The sequence below is a fragment of the Homo sapiens genome, chromosome 2 (genome assembly GCF_000001405.40).
Source record: "Homo sapiens chromosome 2, GRCh38.p14 Primary Assembly".
In the NCBI taxonomy this organism is placed as follows: domain Eukaryota; kingdom Metazoa; phylum Chordata; class Mammalia; order Primates; family Hominidae; genus Homo; species Homo sapiens.
In genome coordinates, this window is record NC_000002.12 from 86,895,815 (window position 1) to 86,916,641 (window position 20,827).

General features: G+C 42.6%; 1 protein-coding gene and 1 pseudogene across 3 annotated transcripts in view; both read left to right on the forward strand.

Annotated features, from left to right (window-relative positions):
* ANAPC1P1 (ANAPC1 pseudogene 1) overlaps positions 1 to 17,164 on the forward strand; it is a 51,192-nt pseudogene extending 34,028 nt beyond the window's left edge. The window contains exons 16-20 of the transcript NR_037931.2: positions 4,984 to 5,118; positions 8,024 to 8,164; positions 8,691 to 8,751; positions 12,015 to 12,202; positions 17,089 to 17,164. The product of NR_037931.2 is annotated as an ANAPC1 pseudogene 1 (transcript). The remainder of the gene's footprint in view (positions 1 to 4,983; positions 5,119 to 8,023; positions 8,165 to 8,690; positions 8,752 to 12,014; positions 12,203 to 17,088) is intronic.
* A 680-nt stretch (positions 17,165 to 17,844) lies between these two features.
* RGPD1 (RANBP2 like and GRIP domain containing 1) overlaps positions 17,845 to 20,827 on the forward strand; it is a 100,318-nt gene continuing 97,335 nt past the window's right edge. The window contains exon 1 of one of the 2 annotated variants that reach the window (NM_001410915.1): positions 17,845 to 18,107. In NM_001410915.1, coding sequence (NP_001397844.1) covers positions 18,036 to 18,107 — 72 coding nt within the window. In that variant the 5' untranslated portion in view covers positions 17,845 to 18,035. Of the gene's footprint in view, positions 18,108 to 19,134; positions 19,151 to 20,827 lie in introns of those variants that run through there. The other variant, XM_011532845.4, reaches the window with a different exon arrangement.

The following is a 20,827-nucleotide window of genomic DNA, read 5'->3' on the forward strand; positions in this document are numbered from 1 at the left end:
AAATTTAAATACATACAATTTGAATAATAATAATGAAGTGAATATTCATCTACCCAGTACTCTGGTTAAGAAATAGAATATTGCCAGTATCCTTATTTTTATTACATTCTTTTCTGATTGCATCCTATCTTCCCCTGCCCTCGAGATAGACAGAATCCTGATTTTGTGATAAATCAGTTGTTTGTATTACTAGTTTTTACAGTTATGTATGTATCACTAAAGAATGCATTATTTAGTTTTCCTTGTTTTTGAATTTTTATATAAAAAATACCATGTACTCGCCTCTGATGTACTTATTTTGCTCAACATTATATTTGTTTTAGATTTGTCTGTGTTGATGCGTACTGTTGTTTACTCATTCAGTGTGATGTATATATTCAATAGTATTCCATCGTACCTCATTTTGTGCTTTGCTTTATTGTACTTCACAGATACTGCATTTTTTTTTTTACAGATTGAAGGTTTGTGGCAACTTTGTGTTGAGCAAGTCTGTTGGTGCCATTTTTCCAGCAGCATGTGCTCATTTTGTGTCACTGTTTCAAATATTGATAATTCTTGCAGTATTTCAAACCTTTTTGTTATTAGTTTATCTGTTATGGTGACCTGTGATCAGTGGTCTTTGATGTTACTATTAGAATTCTTTTGGGGCACCACGAACTGTACCCATATAAGATGAGGAACTTAATTGATAAATGTTTTGTGTGGTCTGCCTGATCATTTGACCCCTTTCCTGTCTCTCTCTCTCCTCCTGCCTCACTATATCCTGAGACAAAACAATATTGAAATTAGACCAATTAGTAACCCTGTAATGGCCTCTAAGTTTTCAAATGAAGGGCAGAATCACAAGTTTCTCACTTTACATCAAAAACTAGAAATGATTAAGCTTCGTGAGGAAGGCGTGTTGAAAGCTGAGATAGGTCGAGAGCCAGACCACCTGTGCACAAGAGCCAACTTGCGCATGCAGAGGAAAAGCTCTCGAAGGAAATTAAAAGTGCTATTTCAGTGAACATGGCAACTGATAAAGCGAAACAGCCTTATCGCTGATATGAAGAAAGTTTTAGTGTCTGGACAGAAGATCAAACCAGCCATAACATTCCCTTATGCTGAAGTCGAATCCACAGCAAGGCCCTAACTCTCTTCAATTCTGTGACGGCCAAGAAAGGTGAAGAAGCTGCAGACGAAAAGTTGTAAGCAAACAGAGGTTGATTCTTGAGGTTTAAGGAAAAAAGCCCTCCCCATAACACAAAAGTGGAAGGTGAAGCAGCATGTGCTGATGTAGAAGCTGCTAAGATAATTGATGCAGGTGGCTACACTAAACAGATTTTCAGTGTGGATGAAACAGCTTTCTGTTGGAAGAAGATGCCATCTAGGACTTTCATAACCTGAGAGGAGAAGTCAGTGCCTGGCTTCAAAGGACAGTCTGACCCTCTTGTTAGGGGCTAATGCAGCTGGTGACTTAAAGTTGAAGCCAGTGCTCATTTACCATTCCAAAAGTCTTAGGGCCCTTAAGAATTATGCCAAGTCTGCTCTGCCTGGGCTCTATAAATGGAGCGACAAAGACTGGATGGCAGCACACCTGTTTATAGCATGGTTTACTGAATGTGTTAAGCCCACTGTTGAGACGTATTGCTCGGAAAAAAGATTCCTTTCAAAATATTACCGCTCATTGACAGTGCACCTGGTCATCTAAGAGCTCTGAGGGAGATGTACAGGAGATGAATGTTGTTTTCATGCCTGCTGACACATCTGTTCTGCAGCCTGTGAAGGAGTAATTTTGACTTTCAAGTCTTACTATGAAATACATTACTTAACTAGAGCTGCCATAGATAGTGATTCCTCTAAGAGATCTGGCAAAGTCCATTGAAAACCTTCTGGGCCGGGTGTGGCAGCTCACACCTGTAATCCTAGCACTTTGGGAGGCCGAGGCAGGTGGATCACGAGGTCAGGAGATCGAGACCATCCTGGCTAACACAGTGAAACCCTGTGTCTACTAAAAGTACAAAAAATTAGCCGGGTGTGGTGGCGGGTGCCTGTAGTTCCAGCTACTCGGGAGGCTGAGGCAGGAGACTGGTGTGAACCCAGGAGGCAGAGCTTGCAGTGAGCCAAGATTGCGCCACTGCACTCCAGCCTGGGCGACAGAGGGAGACTCCATCTCAAAAAAAAAAAAAAACCTTCTGGAAAGGATTCACCTTTCTAGATGCCATTAAGAATATTCATGATTCATGGGAGGAGGACAAAATATCAACATAAACAGGAATTTGGAAGAAGTTGATTCCAACCCTCATGGGTGACTTTGAGGGGCTCAAAACTTCAGTGGAGGAAGTCACTGCAGATGTGGTGGAAATAGCAAGAGAATTAGAATTAGAAGTAGAGCCTGAAGATGTGACTAAATTGCCAAGATCTTATGATTAAACCTGAACAGAATTGCCAAACTTGAACAGAATTGCCAAAATCTTATGATCAAACTTGAAGAGTTGCTTCTTCTGGATGAGCAAAGAAAGTGGGAACATACAGAAAACAAACATTAAATGGCAGATTTAAATCCCACTAGGCCACTAATTAAATACAATGGTCTAACACAAATAACAGAGACTAGCAGAAGAGATTAGAAAATACAGCCCAACTATATATGTTGGTTATAAGAAGTGTTCTTCAAATATAATGACATAGGTAAGTTAAAGGATGGAAAGAAGATATATTATGCAAACAGTAATCAAAAGATAGCTGGAGTCGCTATAAAGTGGGAAAAAAAAAATGACCAGGAACAAAGAGAGACTTTAAAGGGCCAAATCACCAAGAAGGCACCCTTGAGTATTTTGTAAATGTCAGTTCATTCCATTTGGTTGATAATGTTGTTCATGTCCTCTCCAACCTTGGCAATTTCTTTTCTTCTTTTTCGATACAGTATCTCGTTCTGTTACTCAGGCTGGAGTGCAGTGGTGGGATCACAGCTCACTGCACCCATGACCTCCTGACTCAAGCGATCCTCCCACCTCAGCCTCCCAAAGTGCTGGGATATTACAGACATGAGCCACCACATCCAGCCTGGCAAACTTTTTATGTAGGAGTTCAGACAAGTATCTTAGCCTCTATGGGCCGCATGCAGTCTCTGTTACATATTTGTCTTCTGTTTTTTTTTTTCCTTAACCATTTAAGTACATAAAACCTATTCTTAGCTCACAGACTGTACAAAAATGGGATACAAGCCAGATTTGGTCATGGAACATGGTTTGCTGACCAAGGATCTAAATAGATGCAGAGAAATCATTTGATAAAATCAAATATCCGTGATGAAAAAAAATCCTCAGCATCGAGAAATAGAAGGGGACTTCCTCAAATAGACGAGGGACATTCAAAATTTTCACTGTGCCTCCTGATGAGGAGGAAGGGACGGCCATGACTTTTTTCTTGGTGTTTGCAAAAAGTAGGGCAGATATAGTGAAAAGTTTCTGTCCTGGTCGGTCATTCTTTTCCCAACACTTTGGCTGGAAAGAGTAAGATTTTCTTAGGGCGTGTTTTGTCTGTGAACGTTGGCATGTCTGTGTTATAGGCACTTTGAAAGCCTGAGGCCTGGTTATGTAAGGAGTCAAAAAAACCAGAAACCTAGGAAATTCATCATTAGGTCATTCCTGGGTCTCAGGTTACTAGCCAGTTTGTCTTCTTTTCTTCACTTTTTCAGAATCCTCTGTTAGTTGCATTATAAATTTTATTCAGTTTTTTTTCTTTCTGGTGATTAATGAGGGAATAGCATGGTATGTGCTTATTCCATCTTTTCGTAAATTAGGGGTTTGAGATAGCTTTTAAAAAATTATGCATAATTAGTTCTCACTGTTATTTTGTTTTTTAAGCCTAAGGATTTTATTGGGGCAACTTCTGTTATTTTGTTAGCTGTTGAGTAGTGTGTTAACATGAATATGTACGTTGTTAAGATCTCATTTTAGTTCTGAGCATCTCCTTTTTAGTCTTATCAAGTTTTCAGCCTGTACAGATGTGAATTTCTGTTTTTGCTAAGTACCCTACAGATAGCCAAAATAAGGAGTGGTTAGCACGGATTGTCAACTCATTCTTTTTTTTTTTTTTGAGACAGAGTTTCATTCTTGTTGCCCGGGCTGGAGTGCAGTGGCGCGATCTCGGCTCACTGCAAGTTCCGCCTGCTGGGTTCACACCATTCTCCTGCCTCAGCCTCAGAGTAGCTGGGACTACAGGTGCCTGCCACCATGCCCGGCTAATTTTTTTTTTTTAATTTTTAGTAGAGATGGGGTTTCACTGTGTTAGGCAGGATGCTCTTGAACTCCTGACCTTGTGATCCGCCTGCCTCGGCTTCCCAAAGTGTTAGGATTACAGGCGTGGGCCACCGCGCCTGGCCGCTGTTCTTACTGTCTTTATGACCAATAAGGTAGAAGAGTACATAGTGTACAGATTTTTATATAATGTGTTGACTATATTAACATTCCTCTCCTTGCCTTCCAAAAAAGTCTTCAGTAATGAAGAGAAGGAATCCAACCAAGAGAAATTATACCAAGGTATGAGAGGTCTAGGTGGGCAGATGGCTTCAGCCCAGAAGTTCAAGACCAGCCTGGATAACATGGTGAAACCCTGTCTCTACCAAAAAATACAAAATTAACCAGGCATAGTGGCATGTGCCTGTAGTTCCAGCTACTCAGGAGGCTGAAGTGGGAGGATCACTTGAGCCTGGTAGGTTGAGGCTGCAGTGAGCTGAGATCATGCCACTGTACTCCAGCCACAGGGAAAGAGTGAGATCTTATCTCAAAAAAAAAAAAAGAAATTATACCAACATATTTGCAGTTGGATAGTGGAATTCAATAGATTATTGACATTTGAATTGTTTCTTTGCTGTGTTTGGTGAGAATAAACTTAGAAATATCAAAAGAAATATATGTTTATATTCCTTAACATTTTATTTAAGGATGTGATGCATTAAAGGCAGTATTTTTTTTTTCCACATGTTTTTATTGCTTAAAGGTGGGAAAGGTTTTTATTCCTGGACTGCCAGCTCCCTCTCTGACGATGTCCAACACAATGCCTCAGCCCAGTACTCCACTTGATGGCGTTAGTGCTCCAAAGCCTCTTAGTAAACTCCTTGGATCATTGGACGAGGTAAGAAAAGGACTAGGTGCTGCCAAAAAGTTAACATTTTTTAAAGAAGTTTGGTTAAATATTAGTTCTTTCCATGGTTAACTTAATTTTAGTTTCTACTTGCAGAATAAATGTTTTCAAACAGAAGTGATTCAGTTAACATACGCTGACCTCCCTTGTGATGTATGTGATACTTTTTGAAGGTGCTGGAGAGATGGAAATGATACATTCTTTTCCATCTAGGGATCTCACAATCGTGTGGAGTTGATGTACTGTCTGCATAAGAAATTAGAATTTAAGAAAGACTCATGACTCAGTAATGTGGAAAAGAGAGTACCATCGTTGATTGACTGATGGGAAGATAACATCCAATGGGAGGACATGGCAAAATCAAAGCCTCATCTCTGAGAGACATGTCAGTCTTCGTTTGGACCTTGGGGATGAGTAGGATATCTGTAGGTAGAAAGGAGCATTCAGGGCAAGGAGAAACCACACAGGCACAGGCAGGAAGGCCAGATAATGCGGAACATTTTTTAATGGATATTTGTATCTTCATCTCCTAGTCATAAGGACTGAATAAATCTGTAGAATAAATACTTATAAAAGTACAAGTAGTCTGTAGGGTGAGGCAGGATAGGGTTTGGATAACAATAATAACCTTTTTTGAGCATTTTCTATGTGCTAGGCATTGTTCTCAGTGCTTTATTGGTAATAATTATTTCCTTAGAACAGCTTTATTGAGAAGATAGTACTATGATTCTTTTTTTTACAAATGAGATAGAGGTTACAAATGAAATAAACCTACTAAGTGGTAGAACTGGGATTTACACTCTTACTAATGTGCTCTTAAAGGGAGAAAGGATGAAAAGGTGGTTTTCTTCTGAATGCAATTGACAGGGCATTACAGGATTTTGAGAAAGGAGTTACGAGGTTTTGGATCTGTGTTGTAAATAGGTGTATTTTGGGATTCAAGATAAGGAGACCAGTTAGCCTCCAAGTGAGGTTGTCTGTGTCAGTTTAAGAAGTATGAAGAGGGTCTGAGCTAGGGCAGTATATGTGTGGAAAGGAGGGATTAATATGAGAGGCCTTGAGAGGTGGAAATGAGTTTGTCAGCTGATTGGTTTTGTGCTGCTGGGCTGGGGAAAGGTGATGTGGAAGGAGGCTCTGAATTCTCTGAACGACCTGGGAAGGTACCTGGATTTACCAAGTTAGGAAGCCTGGAGAAAAGTGGTTTGTATTTAAAGGACATGTGAGTGTGGATGTTTAGGGACGGTTCAAAGGGAAGGTTAGTGCTATCTGTTGTATTTGATAATGTCTATGTCTTCATTATATTTTTAAACATGTGCCACATTGAATTTTTTTTCCTTCAAACCAGCACATTTGCAGAACATTCAAAGGGGGAACTGGAGAAGTGTCAGAGTGTTTTGTGTGATTTGGAAGAATTTCTTTTATAATGGAAAATGGTTTCCAACTTTTTTAGAATTCTATAAGCCTGGTAATAGTGCCTTTTTGATAGGTGTAAGGTCATGGAAATGATAGTCTGACACATTGGCTGATGGCTTTTCCACTTCTCTGGAAGATTTTGCTAGTAGACTTAGAGCCAGGACCAGTGGAGCTGAATTTTTCCTGGTGACTTTTAGAGTAGAATCTGGAATAGAATAAATACATCTTAGTCTTGATTGTCAGTGTTGACAAGATATTCACTTAGAGATATATAAATTGAATTAAAGGAATCAAAAAAGGATCAGTGGTCATGACTAGAGATTAAGATTGGAAGCATCTGCATGTAGATAGTAACTAAGACCATTTAAATTTTTTGTTTGCATATCTGCAGTTAAGCAAATAAATGCTGTTCCTGTATTTTTGAATAAATAATTGCCTATAGGGGAAATACCACTAAATCCTGGTCTCATTTGTTGGCTTTTTCATTACTGTCCTTTCTTCCTGGGCTCTTAGTTCCTCAGCTGCCTCAAATCACAGTTTAGTCTTTTGTTTTTTGTTTTTTGTTTTTTTTTGAGATGGAGTCTTGCCCTGTCATCCAGGCTGGAGTACAGTGGGGCAATCTCACCGTACTGCAACCTCCACCTCCTGGGTTCAAGCGATTCTCCTGCCTCAGCCTCCCAAATAGCTGGGACTACAGGCACCTGCCACCGCACCTGGCTAATTTTTGTATTTTTAGTAGAGATGGGGTTTCACCATGTTGGCCAGGCTGGTCTTGAACTCTTGACCTCAAGTGATCCGCCCACCTCAGCCTCCCAAAGTGCTGGGATTATAGGCATGAGCCACCACGTGCCCCGGCTCACAGTTTAGTCTTTAGCCCTGTAAGGTTGCTAACAGTGCTGCTGGCTTCTCTCCCTCTTAGCTATGACTTTCCTTGCATATTGTCAGCCTTTCCATATGTTCCTCTTACCACCAAAATTTGCAGATGGCCAGAGCAGAAAAAGCAAGGTTCTCCAAGAACGTTGGCCCCTTTCCCTGCAGTTGCCTTCTCTCCTAGATCTTGGTCCCTCAAGTCCAGGTTGCTTCCACAGCTTTTCCACAGCCACCAATCAGATGTTTTCCTTTTACCTACCTTTTCTAGCTGTTTCCTGTGAGGACCTTGGTTTGCTGGTACTTCATTGTATCTGGAACAAAATGTTTTAAACAGCCTGGGTCTTGCCGTGTCATCCAGGCTGGAGGGCAGAGACTATTCACAGGCTCACTACAGCCTCAAATTCCTAGGCTTAAGTGATTCTCCTGTCTCAGTCTTCTGAGTAGCTGGGACTATACAGGTGTGCACCACCATGCTTGGCTTGGAGCAGAATGTTTTTGAATCATTACATATTATTGTTTGTTAGACCATATGCAAAAAAGAAATAGTTAAATTTCCTTGTCCTTAATTTCTCAGAAAACAATTCATTTGTGTTGTATTTACGACTTTTTACAGGTTCTCCTGTTGTCCCCAGTTCCAGAACTGAGGGATTCTTCAAAACTTCATGATTCTCTCTATAATGAGGATTGTACTTTCCAACAGCTTGGAACTTACATTGATTCTATCAGAGATCCTGTCCATAACAGAGTCACCCTAGTAAGTATAAACATTTGGTAGCTTTCCAAGAAGTGGGCTGGCATTTCAAATTTGACAGAATACAGAATTTTGTCTGAAAAATGACAACAAACATTTCTCATGATTTAAAAAAATCTATTGTGTCATTTTTTGGCACTATTTTACTTTTTACTATACAGTAATTCTGCTTGTTTTCTACAGTTTCTGTATTATTAAAAACTTAGTGAAAACAAAAGCTTGTTGAGTCAGTTGAATTGTAAATTGATGTGATTTTTTGTCGTCTCATTAAAAGTAAATGTCCTTTTGATGATGGTGACTCACTGTATAAAGATTAGACACTTTTTATTAAAACAAGCATTTTGGAAAACATTTTGCAAATAATTACATTTAAAGTTTCTGAAATTTGGAAGTGTTCATTTCTGTTTGAAAATTGTTTTTCATTTATTTTATTGCTTTGATGGGCAAAGTCTTGTACCAGCTATTTTTAAGACATTCAAAGACTTAGAATGCACAGATTTTATTTACTTTCTCATTTGTTTCCATCTAGGAACTGAGTAATGGCTCCATGGTTAGGATCACTGTTCCTGAAATTGCCACCTCTGAGTTAGGTACGATTGAGAAGTTTCATTTATAAGACATGAAGTAATTGTGATTTACATTAATAATTGGGGTTTTAAACATTATTTTGCCATTTTTGAAGCCACTGGATCAAGTTCTTAGCTTTGTAGAGGAGCCTTAAAGAGCTAGGGAGTGCTTTGTGATGTCCACTCTATGTGTGCTCTAAGGCTGGAGTACAGGTGAAGGATGTGCTATTTCTGTTCTCTGAGGTTCTTCTGTTGGGGAATATTGTGCAGTATAATAATATATGGACATGCCTGCTGGGCATGGTGGCTCACTCCTGTAATCCCAACATTTTGTGAGACTGAGGCAGGTGGATCGCTTGAGGTCGGTAGTTCGAGACCAGCCCGGCCAACGTGGTGAAACCCTTTCTCTACTAAAAATACAAAAATCAGCGGGGTGTGGTGGTGCACTTCTGTAATCTCAGCTACTTGGGAGTCTGAGGCAAGAGAATCGCTTGAACCCAGAATGCGGAGGTTGCAGTGAGCCGAGATCGTGCCACTGCGCTCCAGCCTAGGTGATAGAGTGAGACTCAGTCTCAAAAAAAAAAAAAATATATATATATATATATATATGTATATATATATATGTATATGTATATATATATGTATATATATATATGTATATGTATATATATATATGTATATGTATATATATGGACATGCCTCTTGCAAGAACATCTGGGAAACTGGAAGCCTAAGCGACTAAGATAATTCTTGGCATATTTAATGTTTTTTTCTGTAATGTATTAATGATGTTTTTAATTTTAAAATGAATATCTCAATTTTCAGATAAATTGTGAAAGTAACCTAATTGCCTTAATTGAATAAAACTTAATATTATTGTCAAAATACAATCAGAATTATCTTAATAAATATTGGATTCTGCTTGAATTATTCCTGAGATGCAATTTCAAAAATGCTAGAGGAGAATATTTCTGAACATAGCATAGTAAACAAAATGTTAGAATTGAAGGGATTTGCCAACAAACGTAGGTTAAGAAAAGAATGCCTGTATGATATAAGGAAGTTCATGACATATCTTGGTTTCCAATCTAACTGCCAAAGCAAGACATTGGCAGATTGTAGACAAGAATAACTTTTTCATTTTAGGAATTTTCACTGCTGGTAAATGGTATTCCAAGTTGCTATAGAGATTCCTTGCCTTCTAAAAGGTATTTCGTAATCACAAGGCCAGGTACCTAGAAGTATGATAAGCCTAAGCAAAATATATAAAAACAAATAATAATGGAAGAAATTAAATAAATAAAAACAAAAAATCTTACCCCTTTATAGCCAAATAGAAGCCCCATAGTTTATGCACATAAGTTTATGTACTTTACCTGCAAAGGGTTCTCACACACTCATGCAGCATTGGGTTTACACTTATTTTGGATTCAGCTATGACATACTTGGTTATATGGTATTTTAATATTATTTGCTTCCAACCTGTGCTGTGTGAGTTTGCATATTGCAAACTGACGGGATAGAGGATATGCTGATGAGGGTGGGCCCAGTGGCATGACAGTGGAAAGGGAAAAAAGAATCCTGGAAGAGAGGATATGTGAGTACACAAACATTGCAGTTTGGGATTATTTACTACTAAAAGCAGATTTGGGTCTCTTCACAGTGGTAGCCCTGGCCACTCTGAGGGGATCATTGTATGACAGTGTAGTGCTATAATTGATGTGGAGCCACTGAGAATGGTATAAGGCCAGGTGTGGTGGGCTCGTGCTTGTAATCCCCTCCCTTTGGAAGGCTGAGGTGAGGGGATTGCTTGAGGCCAGGAGTTTGAGACCAGCTTGGACAACATAGTGAGACTCGGTCTCTACAGAAAGAAAAATAAAATCAGCCAGGCATGCTGGCATGCATCTGTAGTCCTTGCTACTTGGGAAGCTTGAGCTGGTGGACCACTTGAGCCCAGGAGCTGGAGGTGACAGTGAGCTATAATTGCACCACTGCACTCCAGCCTGGGGACAGAGGAAGACCCTGTTTCCACTTACCAAAAAAAGAATGGTGTAAATTATGTGGTATCAACTCTTAACCCTTTTAAGGCAGAGAGCATGTGAAACATTTTAGAAACTGAACGACATCAGAAATAAAGTTATAAAGCTTTGGTTAATAGGCATGTTAAGTCATTTAGAACATCATGTAATGCTAGCTAAGCATTGCTATTCGTGGATGCATATATTGAATATTATATATTTACTGAAGTATGTAGGCAGTATTTTATATAAATGTATAAACATAGAAGTTGTATGTTTTTCATAGTGACTTTTTTTTTTTTGAGACAGTTTTGCTGTAGTCATCCAGGCTGGAGTGCAATGGCGTGATCTTGGCTCACTGCAACCTCTGCCTCCCGGGTTCAGGCGATTCTCCTGCCTCAGCCTCCTGAGTAGCTGGGATTACAGGTGCCTGCCACAATGCCCAACTAATTTTTGTATTTTTAGTAGAAATGGGGTTTCACCATGTTGGTCAGGCTGGTTTCGAACTCCTGACCTCAGGTGATCCACCCGCCTTGACCTCGCAAAGTGCTTAGATTACAGGCGTGAGTCACCATGCCTGGCCCATAGTGACTTTTAATTTGTCACCCGAGCTAGAACATCTTTAAGAGTGAAGGGGAGCAGTTAGTAATTGCTAGGCAATGGATGTAAATCAGGACTGTCTCTGGCAAACTGGGCTATTTGGTTACTTTATTTCTGATGCAAAATTAATGATCAAAAAGCTGTCCTTGGCCGGGCACAGTGGCTCACACCTGTAATCCCAGTGCTTTGGGAGGCCAAGGCAGGTGGATCATGAGGTCAGGAGTTTGAGACCAGCCTGGCCAACATGGTGAAACATGGTCTCTACTAAAAATACAAAAATTAGCCTGGGGCAGTGGCAGACGCCTGTAATCCCGGCTACTTGGTGGCTGAGGCAGGAGAATCTCTTGAACTCAGGAGGCAGAAGTTGCAGTGTGCCAAGACTGCGCCACAGCACTCCAGCCTGGGCAACAGAGCGAGACACCCTCTCAAAAAAAAAAAAAAAAAAAAGCTGTCTTCAGACCCCTTTCAAGCCCTGTTGAATTCAGTAGTTGGTTTTAGTTTCAGATGATGGGTTAGGTAATGTTTGCATCTCATTGGCTCTTTAATGACAGTTTTCTTTTCATAATAATTGGCCTTTACATAGTAGAAGTTAAAGAAACTTGGTTATTGAAAGGGGAAAAGAAATGCATGCAGAGTAAGAATACTAAAATTAATCTTTGCTTTTAATAGTACAAACGTGTTTGCAAACAATTAAGTTTATCCTGCCAAAAGAAATAGCAGTTCAGATGCTTGTCAAGTGGTACAATGTCCACAGTGCTCCAGGAGGACCCAGTTATCACTCAGAGTGGAATTTATTTGTGACTTGTCTCATGAACGTGATGGGTTTTAACACAGACCGCTTAGCATGGACTAGAAATGTAAGTAAATACAATTGTTTTCTTTATGAGTTATTCTGTTAATGTAATGGTTGCATAATTGGTAATATAACATTGAGACTATATAATAGGCGTACCATATTCAAAATAATAGAATAATATTAAGGTTTATTGTATCTATATGTTGTAAATCAAATCTCACTTAATATTTAATGTTAACATTTTACTAGTGATTATAATTACTGAGCTTTAGAATGTTAAAGCATATATGACTATTTCTCATTTCACCTTTGTAAAATGACTGCAAGTTATGCTAGGATTAGTGATAGTCTTGGTTTTATTGATGAAGAAACTGGATCACAAAGAAATCACAGATCTGTGATTTTTTAAAAACTATGACTAGACTGCATCTTCTGACTCCTTGTTTAACATTGTTTTCTGAAGATAAGATTGTCTTTTTACACACATATTGCTTGGGATGTGAAGAGGAAGGTTTGATTTGAGGGAGATTTAAAGTGCTTTAGCCTGAGTATCTACTCTGTTAATGGTAGAAAGCCTTACCTCTCACCCTCTTCCCCCAGTAACATCCTTACAGGCCCTTATTAGATTATTTACAAAATCAGCAGAGTGGTGTCTTCAGTATTGGTGATCTCCTTCTAGCTTTGGAGATCACTCCCAGGACAACTTTGCCTGGGTCACTCTGAAAAAAAATCACTCTAGACTATAATTACCCCTTTTCCAGGTAGCTCAGCTGTACCATTCTATATGTTTTAGCCTTGCACACCAAATCCTTTTTTTTTTTTTTTTTTTTGAGACAGAATGTCGCTCTGTCGCCCAGGCTGGAGTGCAATGGCACAATCTCAGCTCACTACAGGCTCTGCCTCCTGGGTTCATGCCATTTTCCTGCCTCAGCCTCCCGAGTAGCCGGGACTACAGGTGCCCGCCACCACGCCCGGCTAATTTTTTGTATTTTTAGTAGAGATGGGGTTTCACCATGTTAGCCAGGATGGTCTCGATCTCCTGACCTCGTGATCTGCCCGTCTCAGCCTCCCAAAGTGCTGGGATTACAGGTGTGAGCCACCGTGCCTGGCCAGCAAATCCATTTTTAAAACTTGTTTTTTGTCTTAATTATGAAAGGAAAATGTGGAAAATGGAGGAATTAAGAAAATAATTATACTACTCAGAGATAACCACTCTAAATATTTTTGATGTTACCTTCTATATAAAAATACCAATGAAAATTTCCCGTTATCATTAAAAATTTTTTCTAAAATATCTCCATCATTTCTTCATAGTGTAGTTTTATCATAATTAACCAATAGCTAATAATTGTACCTTGTGAATCTGTTGTTTTCGTTATTGGAATTTATAAACATCCTTTTTCACGACTCTTTAACCACATCTCTAGTTACTTCCCAAGAATTGAATCTTAAAAGAGAAACTGTGAGGTCAAGTAATGTTTGGAAAGGGGTTCCCAGGTGACATTCTTACTAGCATCATTTAAAAGCGCCCATTTCACCACAGTGTTTATTTGTGGTGTGGTGAACCTTTGCCAGCTTCCTGAGAAATTTTATCTTATTTCTCTATAAGTAAATGGGAATGGTTTTTTCAAAATTTCATCAGTTATTTATAGTTCTTATTTTTTGATTCGTATTTCATGTCCTTTGTCTATGTTCCAGTCTCTTCTCAGACCAGTGGCCAAAGTAATCCTGTTTGATAACGTCAGGTTGCGTTCGTCACGCCTCTGCGTAGAATCCCCCAGTGACTTCCCATGTCACTCAGAGTAAAGGCCATAGGCCTATAAGATGCCATGTGACCTAGCCCTTGCTCACCTTCCTGGTCTTATTTCTTAATGCTTTGCACACATCATCCCGGCCACATTGGCCTCAGCTCTGTTCCCTGAGCACTGCCAGCATGTTTCTGCCTCTGAGTGTTTGCACTTGCCATTACCTCTATGGAGAATGCTTTCCCTCCGACAAGACGTGCTTAGGTCTTTATTCAGATGTCACCTCAGTGCTGCCTGTCCTGTCTCTCTCTATAGAATTACACCTGCCTCCATACCTTTAGTGCCATTTACCTGTTTTTCTTTCTTCTCACTTAATTAAATATAATATACTATATGTTTTACTTATTTTGTTTTGTATCCCTCCTCCCCCAACTGGAATGTAAATTCTAGGAAGGCAAAGATTTTTGCTTAGTTTTGTTTACTACTCTCTCTCTCCAGGACCTGTGGTATTGCCTGGCATAGAAGGATACTCAGTGAACATTTGTTGAGTGAATGCCGTTTTCCATCTGAGTGAGGTACTGTTTTTAAGAGTTTGTGTCTATTTCAGCACATGAAGGAATTGCTGTCTGCAATTTCCTTTAGAAAAATCTTATGGGAAAATAGGGACAATTTTCTTTTCTTTTCTTTCCTTTTTTAAGACGGGGTTTCACTCTGTCGTCTAGGGTGGAATGCAGTGGCGCTATCCTGGCTCACTACAGCCTCTGCCTCCTAAGTTGAAGCGATTCTTGTGCCTCAGCCTCCTGAGTAGCTGGGATTACAGGCATGCACCTCCACGCCTGGCTAATTTCTGTATTTTTAGTAGAGACAGGGTTTTGCCACGTGGGCTATGCTGGTTTCAAACTCCTGAGCTCAAGTGATCCTCCCACCTTGGCCTCCCAAAGTGCTAGGATTACCTTCTTTTCTTATTTTAAACAATTGTATCCAAGTGACATTATCCCCAATTTTTCTGTTCTTTATTACATGTGAAAAGATTAAGCCTCATAGAAACTGGATTTCTACATTATGAAAAAGCATGTCAGCTTTCTGTAGTTTTGTGTATCATTGTCCTTGGAACTTGTTGATGAGTACAGATTGTTGTGTCCTAGTCTCTGGCAGAGAACCTATGCCCCCTCGCGTTTCCATGTTTTGGGGAGGACTGAGCACCTACCCATTTTTTCCTTTGCAAAGAAGGACATGGCTCTTTGACTTACTTATTGCATGATAATTATAAAGGAAGGAATAAGGAAATCAATTCTTGAGGCCAAGTTGCTTTGCCATTTATTTATAGGACTGCGTGGTTAAACCCTTGCTATCTTTTGTCCTCATAGTCAAAGCTTAGGATGAAATGGTCCTCATTGGCAAATGGTTTTCATTTTGCTTTGTTCAGATTTATTCTTTTTGTTTTCACATATATAATGTGGTGGAGTACAGAATTTCTGCCAATGACTCGTTACACAATTTTTGGCATTTCTTTGTGCTTTCTTTAATTTGCTGATGTGTTACATGAGTGCACTGGACTGTACATTGTAGGAACAGTTGCATTTGGGGTTAACTTTTTGTGGCTTTTGGGCTGCTCTTTTTTTCATTAGATAAATATTGAATCCCTGCTGTGGGCCAGGCATGATGCCAGGTTTCTCACATATACCCCAGACAAAACAGATTGTTCCTCTGGAATTGACTGTCTTGAGGGAAACAAATAAATAATATTTGATACATGTGTTATGATAGATGAAGGGTAAGGGTCCATAGGAGCATATAACAGGGTTGGCTAACCTGAGACACATTGAAAGAGTGAAGATTAAACAGATCCATGTATGGCACAAAGAGCCATCCTTATCAGGCAGTTTCTACTTTCTCATAACTCCAGGCCTTATGAATCTGATAATTATAGCAGGGACATTCTTTTTGACTGTGGGACTTTGTGTGTGTTACATTTTGGTTGAAGTTTTAGGTTAGATAGTTACTGTTATATTTGTTGCTTTGATTTCACTGTTACTACCAGGTTTTTTATAATATATATGAGTTGGGCTGTTTTTTATTTGAATGCTTCACAAGCAAATCTTCTCTCTCAATAACATTCGGTTTTAAAAATCACTTTATTGCTACCTATGTTTAGTTTTTATATAGAAATCAACTCTGTTTAGGTGAGTGAGTTGATAAATATGTAAGTTTTTCAGCATAGGAAAATAGCCATTGCCATTTATAGAGTTACAGTTTATTAGTTGATGGTCAATGTCCATGTGAAGTAGCTGGGGCAGCAAAGATTATGCCAGGGGAAATTGAAGAAGAGCAACTTGCAGAAAACTGCTTTGATGTAGTTGTACTAGTTAAAAGATAGGCTCACTATTGTAATAGAAAGGCCTCAAAAGATACAATGGCTCAAACACAATAAAAATGTCTGTCTTGTTTACATAACAGGGCTTAGCAGATAAACAGGCCACACAGTTATTCAGGAACCCAGGTTGATGGAGGATCTTTTGTCTTCGGTTCAAAGCTTGCCGTTGGTTGACTGCATTCCAGTCAGGTGGAAGGGGCAAAGAGCCTGGAGGAGCAGGGGTAGGACTGGACTGGTCCTGGAAGTGATGACAGTGACTTCCATTTATAATTAACTCTGTCAAAGGGTCACACCTAACTTCAAAGGAGGCAGACGTATGTATGTAGTCTGGCTGTGGGTTCAGTAGAAAGAGGAGAAAAAAGATTTTCCAGAGTAGCTACTTGTCTCTGCCATAGAATTGTTAGATAGTTTACTGTAGGTGGACTGTAAATAAATGTTTGCTTAGTTCTAACATTTGACTGATATTGGGTTGATCCTTTGAGACTTGGTATATTGTGGATATGCCTAAAGTTTCTTTTTCTACCAAAGATGTGATGTAATCTATGTCGTTACAGAAGTAGGAGAGGGAAGGAAACTACCATTAAAATCAGTCCTTAGGAGCCCAGGCACTGTTCTAGATGTTTGCATATATTAATATGATTTCATTTCATCTTTACAGTAACCTGGAAGAAAGATATTTAAATAATGACTTTCCAGATCAAAAAATGAGTTTTGATGGCTTTTCTCAGTTTTCATAATTGGCAGAACTGATTTCCGAATCCTTTAAGTTGATCAGTTGACAGGAATGCATTTATGATTTTTATCTTTTCTTTTGGGGTTACTTTTCAGTTTGACTTTGAAGGATCACTTTCCCCTGTCATTGCACCCAAAAAAGCAAGGCCTTCTGAGACTGGATCTGATGATGTAAGCATTATTATTTCTTGCTAATATAAATTAATTTATGGATATTCATACTATTCTTCCACTTCTGTGGTATTCCTATCAATTCCTCTATCTTTCCAACACCTTTCACTTTATTTATTTTAATACTGAATAGCAATTATTTTGAAGAGTAGGATCTGTTACATTTTCTAGGGTCTTTAATGATTATCCAAAAATTAATGTATGTATTACTGCATGATTTCAGTTTGGGTTTGTAGACATTTTATTATCAACTGATCACCTGAAATGACAGCATTTACCTTTTTTATGCAGTGTTTTTTAAATTAAGGTTCTCAATCGTATCAGGTTCCATGGTATATTCCTTTTTTTTTTTTTTTTTTTTTTTGAGACGGAGTATCGCTCTTGTTGCCCGGGATGGAGTGCAGTGGCACGATCTGAGCTCACTGCAATCTCCGCCTCCCAGGTTCAAGCAGTTCTCCTGTCTCAGCCTCCTGAATAGCTGGGATTACAGGCGCCCGCCACCATGCCCGGCTAATTTTTGTAGTTTTGGTAGAGACAGGGTTTCACCATGTTGGCCAGGCTGGTCTCCAACTCATGACCTCAGGTGATCCGCCCGCCTCCGCCTCCCAAAGTGTTGGGATTACAGGCGTGAGCCACGGCGCCCGGCGGGCAAGACACCCTCAGAGCACAGGGTGCTGCCAAGAGCCCGGCCGAGTGCAGCTGGAGCGCCGACGTCGCCAAGGATACACAGTGCTGACGCAGTACACAAGTGCGTCACAGTGGTCCTCCGCCGGCTACGTCAGTGGCTTTCAGGCGCTTTCCTGTTGGAATTGGCGACTGCTGCGGGGCTGAGCGCTGGTTTCACGCGTCTCGGGAGCCAGGTTGGCGGTGCGATGAGGCGCAGCAAGGCCTACGGGGAGCGGTACCTCGCCTCGGTGCAGGGCTCCGCCCCGTCGCCTGGAAAGGTGAGTGGATCTCGAAGAGACCGACGGCCTCGACCTGGCGGGGCGGTGGCCTCGACCTGGCCGGGCGGCGGCGGCGGCCTCGGCCTCGGCCTGGCCGGGCGGCGGCGGCGGCGGCGGCGGCGGCGGCGGCGGCGGCCTCGGCCTCGGCCCCGGCCTGGCCGGGCGGCGGCGGCGGCGGCGGCGGCGGCGGCCTCGGCCCCGGCCTGGCCGGGCGGCGGCGGCGGCGGCGGCGGCGGCGGCCTCGGCCTCGGCCTGGCCGGACGGCGGCGGCGGCCTCGGCCTGGCCGGGCGGCGGCGGCGGCCTCGGCCTGGCCGGGCGGCGGCGGCGGCGGCGGCCTCGGCCTCGGCCTTGGCCTCGGCCGGGCGGCGGCGGCGGCGGCGGCGGCGGCGGCGGCGGCCTCGGCCTGGCCGGGCGGCGGCGGCGGCGGCGGCGGCGGCGGCGGCCTCGACCTGGCCGGGCGGCGGCGGCGGCGGCGGCGGCGGCCTCGACCTGGCCGGGCGGCGGCGGCGGCGGCGGCGGCGGCGGCGGCGGCGGCGGCGGCGGCGGCGGCGGCCTCGGCCTCGGCCTGGCCGGGCTGCGGCGGCGGCGGCGGCGGCGGCGGCGGCGGCCTCGGCCTGGCCGGGCGGCGGCGGCGGCGGCGGCGGCGGCGGCCTCGGCCTCGGCCTCGGCCTTGGCCTCGACCTGGCCGGGCGGCGGCGGCGGCGGCGGCCTCGACCTGGCCGGGCGGCGGCGGCGGCGGCGGCGGCCTCGACCTGGCCGGGCGGCGGCGGCGGCGGCGGCGGCGGCCTCGACCTGGCCGGGCGGCGGCGGCGGCGGCGGCGGCGGCGGCGGCCTCGACCTGGCCGGGCGGCGGCGGCGGCGGCCTCCACCTGGACGGGCGGCGGCGGCGGCGGCGGCGGCGGCGGCGGCGGCCTCGACCTGGCCGGGCGGCGGCGGCGGCGGCGGCGGCGGCGGCGGCGGCGGCCTCGACCTGGCCGGGCGGCGGCGGAGGCGGCGGCCTCGACCTGGCCGGGCGGCGGCGGCGGCGGCGGCCTGGCCTAAGGTACTTCTGTTGGGGAATATTGTGCAGTATAATAATATATGGACATGCCTGCTGGGCATGGTGGCTCACACCTGTAATCCCAACATTTTGTGAGACTGAGGCAGGTGGATCGCTTGAGGTCGGTCGTTCGAGACCAGCCTGGCCAACGTGGTGAAACCCTTTCTCTACTGAAAATACAAAAATCAGCGGGGTGTGGTGGTGCACTTCTGTAATCTCAGCTACTTGGGAGTCTGAGGCAGGAGAATTGCTTGAACCCAGAATGCGGAGGTTGCGGTGAGCCAAGATCGTGCCACTGCACTCCAGCCTAGGTGATAGAGTTAGGGTTAGGGTTAGGGTTAGGCAAGACATTGGCAGATTGTAGACAAGAATAACTTTTTCATTTTAGGAATTTTCACTGCTGGTAAATGGTATTCCAAGTTGCTATAGAGATTCCTTGCCTTCTAAAAGGTATTTCGTAATCACAAGGCCAGGTACCTAGAAGTATGATAAGCCTAAGCAAAATATATAAAAACAAATAATAATGGAAGAAATTAAATAAATAAAAACAAAAAATCTTACCCCTTTATAGCCAAATAGAAGCCCCATAGTTTATGCACATAAGTTTATGTACTTTACCTGCAAAGGGTTCTCACACACTCATGCAGCATTGGGTTTACACTTATTTTGGATTCAGCTATGACATACTTGGTTATATGGTATTTTAATATTATTTGCTTCCAACCTGTGCTGTGTGAGTTTGCATATTGCAAACTGACGGGATAGAGGATATGCTGATGAGGGTGGGCCCAGTGGCATGACAGTGGAAAGGGAAAAAAGAATCCTGGAAGAGAGGATATGTGAGTACACAAACATTGCAGTTTGGGATTATTTACTACTAAAAGCAGATTTGGGTCTCTTCACAGTGGTAGCCCTGGCCACTCTGAGGGGATCATTGTATGACAGTGTAGTGCTATAATTGATGTGGAGCCACTGAGAATGGTATAAGGCCAGGTGTGGTGGGCTCGTGCTTGTAATCCCCTCCCTTTGGAAGGCTGAGGTGAGGGGATTGCTTGAGGCCAGGAGTTTGAGACCAGCTTGGACAACATAGTGAGACTCGGTCTCTACAGAAAGAAAAATAAAATCAGCCAGGCATGCTGGCATGCATCTGTAGTCCTTGCTACTTGGGAAGCTTGAGCTGGTGGACCACTTGAGCCCAGGAGCTGGAGGTGACAGTGAGCTATAATTGCACCACTGCACTCCAGCCTGGGGACAGAGGAAGACCCTGTTTCCGCTTACCAAAAAAAGAATGGTGTAAATTATGTGGTATCAACTCTTAACCCTTTTAAGGCAGAGAGCATGTGAAACATTTTAGAAACTGAACGACATCAGAAATAAAGTTATAAAGCTTTGGTTAATAGGCATGTTAAGTCATTTAGAACATCATGTAATGCTAGCTAAGCATTGCTATTCGTGGATGCATATATTGAATATTATATATTTACTGAAGTATGTAGGCAGTATTTTATATAAATGTATAAACATAGAAGTTGTATGTTTTTCATAGTGACTTTTTTTTTTTTGAGACAGTTTTGCTGTAGTCATCCAGGCTGGAGTGCAATGGCGTGATCTTGGCTCACTGCAACCTCTGCCTCCCGGGTTCAGGCGATTCTCCTGCCTCAGCCTCCTGAGTAGCTGGGA